This window comes from Homo sapiens, chromosome X (genome assembly GCF_000001405.40).
Source record: "Homo sapiens chromosome X, GRCh38.p14 Primary Assembly".
Lineage (NCBI taxonomy): Eukaryota > Metazoa > Chordata > Mammalia > Primates > Hominidae > Homo > Homo sapiens.
In genome coordinates, this window is record NC_000023.11 from 140,127,328 (window position 1) to 140,136,152 (window position 8,825).

An 8,825-nucleotide genomic window follows, 5' to 3' on the forward strand; every position below is an offset into this window, starting at 1 on the left:
GGCGTGGTGGTGCATGCCTGTAGTCCCAGCTACTCGGGAGGCTGAGGCAGGAGAATTGCTTGCAACCGGGAGGCGGAGGTTGCAGTGAACCACAGTCACACCACTGCACTCCAGCCTGGGTGATGGAGCGAGACTGTCCAAAAAAAAAAAAAAAAAAAAAGAAGAAGTATTTCCTACCCTCTTCAGTGTCTCTTTCAGCAATATGAAGATAAAACCAGGTACTTTGATTGCTCACCTGAATTTTGGTTCTTATGATGGTGCTTTTTAATGTGTAGTTAGTTGTTAATATTTGGTATTCCTGTTGGGGGCAAGATGATCACTGGAGGCTTCTATTTGGCTGTCTTGCTCTACCTTCATGACTTTTTAATATAGGGAATCATTTTTCATGGTTGAAAGAGTTTCACAATAAAAGATAATTTTCTCTATTCTGGGCTAGAGAAGGTACATATATTTTAGAGTTTAAAGCTGTATTCTATATAGTATTATAACTTTTGGGCAACTGTACGGTGGTGGTCTGGAAGGAAGAAGAGGGAGGAGGGAAGGAAGATGTAATATAAATGTCTGATGTGGCATTTGGATGGGAACCAAACACCAAATTCTCTATGTAGATGAATTGGTAACATTTGGATTTTCAAAGCATATTATAAGATCAGATTAAACTTCTCAGTAGCCACACATAAAAAAGATACAGTTGCTTCTGTAAGTTTTAATTTTAAACAATTCATAGAAAAGTAAAATAAAATATTTATTGAGTAGCCTACTGCGTGCTACAGTTTGAGAGGAAGTAGGATTATTGCAGAGTTCAAGATAGGCACAGAAAGATGTTTGTGTGTTAGACTTTACTTGTCCATGGCCCTGCTGTGCTATTTCTGTACTTAAAGAAAAATGGAATTTCAGAGTAGAAATGTTCAATTAACTGTTAAACACCCTCATCAATTAAGAGATCATTTCCAAATCTGATGGATGAGTTCAAAATATCCAATTATTCTAATCATCAGGCGGAAGAACAGTCCAACTCCCAAGGAGAAAAGAGCAGATAAACATGTAAATGAACTCACAAATCTTTTAGAAATACTCTGCCTGGAATGGCTGAATATTAATATACAAAGTTTTCCATGTGTTAAGTGAAGAGCTGAATTACAGCGAGCAATGCGACATTCAGTGACAACCTAATTCTATTTTATTTTGTAATATTTTTCAATACGTGCTAGATTATAAGAGTAAAACACTGGGAACGCAGCCAGGACATGAAAAAGTCTGTGGAAAGCTCCAAAGACTAGGTCTCATAGCTGTTATAAGGCTTGGCAAGTACCACAATTGCGCATCCATTTTCCCTTTTCTACACAGAGCTCGGTTTTCTTTTTTATACTGTCTCTATTCACTAGGACATTATAATATCAAACCCAGGCCAAAAGTCACCGGCACCAGAAAGCCTTCCCTGACCCTTAATACTTGTTGTGACCAGGAGGACTATACCTTAAGGACTTTACAGGGGACATAATTGACTAAGGGTCCCAGCTACTGTGCTCCGAAATTCATCTCCATGTTTGCTTCAAGGTAACACATCTTACAGGGTGCTCCCAGTCAATGATTGAAGATATCCGAGTTGCTAAAGCAGACTTATTCCTGGGAGACATTGCTCTTACCTGTTGCTAACTTTGGCTTGAAGTGTCCCCAACAATGGCTTTGTCAAACCACTTTTGGGCTGCATGGCCGTCTAGGGTGGTACCACCCAACCTTTTCTCCTTCTCTCCTTCATTCATGTTAGACTTACATCATGGTCTAATGACTCTCCCAGACTTTTTTTTTGGCTCTCTTCCTATTTTCTCTCATAAAGGAATTTCCTCTAACAAAATACATGCTCCTTTAATCCTGTCTTGGCGTAGTCTTTTCAGACGACCTGAACTAAGACAACCCTCCATTCTCTAAGTTACCTCTACAGTTGCCTTCTATAATTGCCATTGTTTCATTGTCTTGATTGGCCATTATTTTTTGTTCACATGTGTCTTCCATGCTATATTGTGAGATCCTGGATTGCAGGATTTGTTTTGTCTTATGATTCTCTCCCTCATATTTAGCATGCATTAGGTACATAATCAACGTTTTTAGAGTGAATGATGAATATATAAAGACATAGTTGTTAGGAGCCACTGAATCAGACAGGTGTGATTTCAAATCCCAACTCTGACACTTTAGTAGCCCTGTGACCTTGGACGTGTAAGTTATTTTACTTCCCTGTTCCTCTCTTTCTCATCAGTGAATTGGGGGTGATGATGACAATAATAGGTTCGGCCAGGCACGGTGGCTCACGCCTGTAATCCCAGCACTTTGGAAGGTCGAGGCAGGCAGATCACCGGAGGTCAGGAGTTTGAGACCAGCCTGGCCAACATGGTGAAACCTCGTCTCTACTAAAAATACAAAAATTAGCCAGGCGTGGTGGCAGGCACCTGTAATCTTAGCTACTTGTGAGGCTGAGGCAGGAGAATCGCTTGAACCCGGGAGGCGGAGTTTGCAGTGAGCCGAGATCGCGTCGTCACACTCCAGCCTGGGAGACAAGAGTGAGACTTTCTCAAAAACAAAAACAAACAAACAAAATAATAATAATAGGTTCAACTATATGAAATAGGTTATATTCAGTCTTTTTTGAGTTATAAAGTTAGCAATTTCTGTATGATTCAACCTAACATTTATTATATAGTTTTGTTTGAGAATTAAAATGAAAGGGTATGTAAATTGCAAACTCTAGAAACTGGCCTCTGTAAGACCTTATTGAAGGTTATCAGTTGTTGTTGTTTTGGGGGTTACCATTGTCATTTTTAGCTCTAGGGCAGTGTTGTGAATGTATTACTTCAGTGAAATGTCACCCCGTTCCACAGGGTGAAGTAGGGGTGTGAATCACTGCTCATATTCCATTTTTAGACAATAGAGAGATACAATGTTCATTATCATCTAGCAGTGCATTCTTTTTCTTCTTTTTTCTTTTTTTCTGTAGGGAAGGGGGTCTCACTTTGTTGCCCAGGCTGGTCTTGAACTCCTGGGCTCAAGTAATACACCTGCCTCAGCCTCCCAAAGTGCTGGGATTACAGACGTGAGCCACTGTACCCAGCCTAGCACTGCATGATTAAAAGGACAATATTAAAGAAACAACGTTGTCCCCATTGAGGTGAATATTGTATTTTATTTTATTGTTTTGAGGTAAAAATTCACAAAACTTAAAATTTACCATTTTAATAATTTTAAGTGTATAATTAAGTGATGTTTAGTATATTCACAGTGTTGTGCAATTATCACCACTCTCTAATTTATAATATTCTCATCACCCCCAAAAGAAACCCTATACCCATTGGCATACACTCCCCATTTTCCTCTTTCCTCAGTTCCTGGCAACCACTAGTCTACTTTCTGTTCCTATTGATTTGCTATTCTGGACATTTCATATAAATGGAATCATAGAATATGTGACCTTATGTATTTGGCTTCTTTCATTTAGTATGATACTTCCTTTTTTTTTTTTTTTTGAGACGATCTTGGCTTGCTGCAACCTCCACCTCCAGGGTTCAAGCGATTCTCCTGCCTCAGCCTCCCAAGTAGCTGGGATTATAGGCATGTACCACCACGCCTAGCTAATTTTTGTATTGTTAGTAGAGACGGGTTTTCGTCATGTTGGCCAGGCTAGTCTGGAGCTCCTGACCTCAGGTGATCCACCCACCTAGGGCCCCCAGAGTGCTGGAATTACAGATGTGAGCTACTGCATCCGGCCTAGCAAGATATTTTCAAGGTTCACGCATCTTGTAGCCTGTATCAGTACTTCATTCTTTTTATGGCTGAATAGAATTCTATTTTATAGACCGCATTTTGTCTATCCAGTCATCAGTTGATGGATTATTTGGATTGCTTCCACTTTTGGCTACTACAAATAATGGTTCTATCACCCTTTGCATACAAGTTTTTCTGTGAACACATATTTTCAGTTTTCTTGGGTATATACCTAGGAATGGAATTACTGGCTCATATGCTAACTTTAAAATTAACTTTTTGAGGAATTGTCAAACTTTCCCAGAGCAGCCATATCATCCTACATTCCACTAGCAATGTACGAAGGTACCAGTTTCTCCCCATCTTCACCAATACTTGTTATTTTCTCTTTTCTTCTTCTTCTTTTATAAAAAAATTACAGCTCTTCTTTGTACCTCTCGTAGAATTCGACTGTGAATCCGTCTGGTCCTGGACTTTTTTTGGTTGGTAGGCTATTAATTATTGCCTCAATTTCAGAGCCTGTTATTGGTTTATTCAGAGATTCAACTTCTTCCTGGTTTAGTCTTGGGAGGGTGTATGTGTCCAGGAATTTATCCATTTCTTCTAGATTTTCTAGTTTATTTGCATAGAGGTGTTTATAGTATTCTCTGATGGTAGTTTGTGTTTCTGTGGGATCAGTGGTGATATCCCCTTTATCATTTTTTATTGCATCTATTAGATTATTCTCTCTTTTCTTCTTTATTAGTCTTGCTAGCAGTCTATCAATTTTGTTGATCTTTTCAAAAAATGAACCAACCAAAATGTCCATCAATGATAGACTGGATTAAGAAAATGTGACACATATACACCATGGAATACTATACAGCCATAAAAAGGATGAATTTATGTCCTTTGCAGGAACATGGATGAAGCTGGAAACCATCATTCTCAGCAAACTATCACAAGGACGGAAAACCAAACACCGCATATTCTCACTCATAGTTGGGAATTGAACAATAAGAACACTTGGACACAGGGTGAGGAACATCACACACTGGGGCCTGTTGGGGGGTTGGGGGCTAGGGGAGAGACAGCATTAGGAGAAATACCTAATGTAAATGACGAGTTGATGGGTGCAGCATACCAACATGGCACATGTATACCTATGTAACAAGCCTGCACATTGTGCACGTGTACCCTAGAACTTAAAGTATAATAATAATAATAAAAAAAATTACAGCCATCCTAATGAACGTAGAGTAGTATTTCATTGTGACTTTGATTGGCATTTCTCTAATGACTAATGATGTTGAGAATATTTTCATGTACTTATTAGCTATTTGTATATAAATGGAGAAATGTCCACTCAAATCCTTTGCCCATTTTTATTTTTTTTTGGTCATTTTATTTTGAGGTGTAAATGTTGCTTATACAGCCTATATACAAGTTTTTAAGATTATATATGTGATATGCAAATATTTTCTTCCATTCTGTGGGTTGTCTTTACACTCTCTTGATAATGTTCTTTGTTGCACAAAAGTTTTTAGTTATGATGAAGTCCACTTTATCTAATTTTTCATTTGTTGCCTGTTTTGAATGGCATATTTTAAAAACCATTGATTAAGGTCATAAAGATATATCCCTATGTTTCCTTCTAAAGTTTTAATATATTTAGTTCTTAAATTTAGGTTTCTAGTCTATTTTGGGTTAATTTTTATATATGGTGTGAATAGGGATCCAAATTCATTCTTTTACATGTAGATATCTTGTTAACTCAGTACTTTTTGTTGAAAAGTCTATTTTTCCCCATTGAGGGAATTTCATACAATTGTTGAAAATTAATTGACCATAGATGTATGGGTGTATTTCTGGACTGTCAATTCTATTCCACTGATCTATGTGTTAATTATTATGCCAGTACTCCACAATACGCTTTACTGTATCTTTGTAATAAGTTTTGAAATTGGGAAGTGTGAGTGAGTCCTTGGAATTTGTTCTCCTTTTTCAAGATTTTTTTGGCTCTTAGAGGCCCCTTGCATTTCCATAAGAATGTTATGGAATGTTAAGAATGTTACGGGCCAAGTGCAGTGGCTCATGCCTGTAACCCCAGTGGTTTGTGAGGCTGAGGCCAGAAGATCACTTGAGGCCAGGAGTTTGAGACCAGCTTGGGCAACATAGTGAGACCCTGTCTCTACAAAAAATAAAAACAGCCAGGCATGGTGGTGCATGCCTGTAGTCCTAGATACTCATGAAGCTAAGGCAGGAGGATTGCTTGAGCCTGGAAATTCAAGGTCGCAGTGAGCCATGATCACACCACTGCACTCCAGACTGGGTAACAGAACAAAACCCTGTCTCTGAAAGAAAAAAAAAAAAAAAAGAATCTTATGACTAATGTATTCATTTATTCAAAAAAGGCACCTAGGATATTTTGGCAGAGATTGGTGGACTCTGTAGATAATATGGGGGGAGTATTACCATCCTAACAATAAAGTCTTTTAATCTGTGGACGTGGGATATGCTTCCATTTATTTAGGTCTCCTTTAATTTTTTTCAATAATGTTTTGTAGTTTTCAGTGTACAAGTCTTACACTTGTTCTGTTAAATTTAGTCCTAAGTTTTTTTTCTTTTTGATGCTATTGTAAATGGAATTATTTTCTAAAATTCATTTTCAGATTGTTCATTGCTAGTGAATAGAAATACAAATGATTTTTGTATGTTGATCTTATATCTTGCAACTTTCCTAAATTCATTTATTAGCTCTAATTTTTTTTTTAATTTTGGTGTGGATTCTTGAGGTTTTTCTCAATATAAAATTATGTCATCTGTGAATATAAATAGTTTCACTTTTTCCTTTCTTATGTGGATTTATTTTCTCTCTTTTTCTTATCTAATTGTTCTGGAAAGAACTTTCAGTACAATGTCAAAGTGACAAATCAGACATCCTTGTCTTGTTTCTTATCTTAGGGGAAAAGCATTTAGTGCTTTAACCTTGAGTATAATTTTAGCTGTTAATAGGGTTTTTCATAGATGGCCTTTACTGAATTGAGGTTCTCTTCTATTCCTAATTTATGGAGCGTTTTTACCAATAAAGGGTCTTAGATTTTTACCAAATGTTTTGTTGTACATCTATTGAGATTATTGTGTTTTTTCCTTTATTAATAGGATATATTACATTGATTGGTTTTAATATGGTGACCCAATATGATAAATCCCACTTATTTATGGTGTGTAATCTTTTTTATATGTTGTTGGATTTGGTTTGCTAGTATTTTGTTGAGGATTTTGTGTCTATTCATAAGGATTCTGGTCTGTAGTTTTATTTTCTTGTAATCTCTTTGGCATTAGCATTAGGGTAATACTGGCTTCATATTAGTAAGTGTTCTCTGCTCTTCTATTTTCTTTTACTATTTTTTTTTTTAAAGACAGGGTCTTGCTATGTTGCCTTGAATGGAGTGCAGTGACACTTCATAGGTACAATCATAGCACACTGCAACCTTGAATTCTTGGCCTCGAGGAATCTTCCCACCTTAGCCTCCCAAATAGTTGGGATTACAGTTGCATGCTACCCTCCCTGGCTTTTCTATTTTTTGAAACAGTTTAAGACATATTCATGTTAATTTTTCTTTAATCATTTGAGACTTTACCAGTGAATCTATCTGGTCTGGGCTTTTCTTTACTGGAAGTTTTTGATTACTGACTCAATCTCTGTACCTGTTAAATAACAACTCCCTTTTATCCTCTCTCCTCAGCTCCTGGTAACCACCATTCTATTTTCTATAGCTGTGAATTTGAATATTTTGGATATATCAGTGTTTGAGTCTGTTTCTTGCTGCTGTAACATAATACTAGATAATGAGTAATGTATAAAGAAAAAACATTATTTCTCACAGTTCTGGAGGCTGGGAAGTCCAAGATTGAGGGGCCAACATCTGGTGAGGGCCTCCTTGCTGTGCCAGTTTATGCTTGAAAAGGAGAGGATGGTGGGGGCAGGGAAATTCATCCTTTTATAATAAACACACTGAATGATAATGGCATCAATCCACTCATGAGGCCAGAGCCCTCATGGTCTAATCATATCTTAAAGGTCTCACCTCTTAATATTGTCACATTGGGGATCAAACTGTCAACACAAGAGCTTTGGGGGACACATTCAAACTATAGCACTCATATAAAGTGGCATCTTACTGTAGTTGTCCTTTTGTGACTGATTTACTTCATTTAGCATAATATCCTCATGGTTCATCCATGTTGTAGTGTGTGACAGGATTTCCTTCCTTTTTAGGGCTGCATAGTATCCCACTATACTTATATTCCATATTTTGTTTGTCCATTTGTCCATCAATGGACATTTGGATTGTTTCTGCCTCTTGGCCAATGTGAATAATGCTGCTATGAATATAAGTGCTATGGCTTGAATATTTGTCCCCTTCAAAACTCATGTTGAAATTTAACCCCAATGTGGCAGTATTGAGACATGAAACCTTTAAAAAATGATTGGGTCACAGTAGGCAGAGCTCTTATGAAATAGATTAATCCATTCATGGGCTAATGGATTATTGGGTTATCATGGGAGTGGGACTGGTGGCTTTATAAGAAGAGGAAACGAGACCTGATTTAGCATGCCTATTCCCCTCACCATGTGATGGATGCACTATGCCACTTCAGGACTGCAGAGAGTCACCAACAGAAAGAAGATTTGTGTCCCAGCTCTTCCACCTCCTAGTTCTTACCTCTGGGATCTTGGGCCAGACCCCAAGTCTTTCTTGCCTCAGTTTCTTCATGTATAAAATGCCGCTGATAATGGCATCTATCTCATAGGGTGCCTGGGAGGATTAAATGAAGTAATGTTTGGAGCATGCTTGACACATAGTGATTAAGGTCTGACCCCAATCCACAAACCTCCAAGATAACCGACCTCTAGAACAAAGAGGACAGGTCCACTATGCCTTATCTGAAATCCTATGAATAGCTCAAAAACACCATCCATAAAAGGAAAACTACAAACTATACCTCATCAAAATTAGGACGTGCAAAGAGGTTGAAAAAACAGTCTACTGTCTGAAAAGATCAGGAGAAAATATTTGAAAACC

General features: G+C 37.6%; 1 annotated feature.

The window, feature by feature from the left end:
- Positions 5,518–6,019: an enhancer, noted in NCBI's record as "OCT4 hESC enhancer chrX:139215004-139215505 (GRCh37/hg19 assembly coordinates)". NCBI's record gives its function as "activates a minimal SCP1, AML or CMV promoter by ChIP-STARR-seq in naive H9 embryonic stem cells {active_cell/tissue: H9 hESC(naive)}" and the evidence as "EXISTENCE:reporter gene assay evidence [ECO:0000049][PMID:30033119]".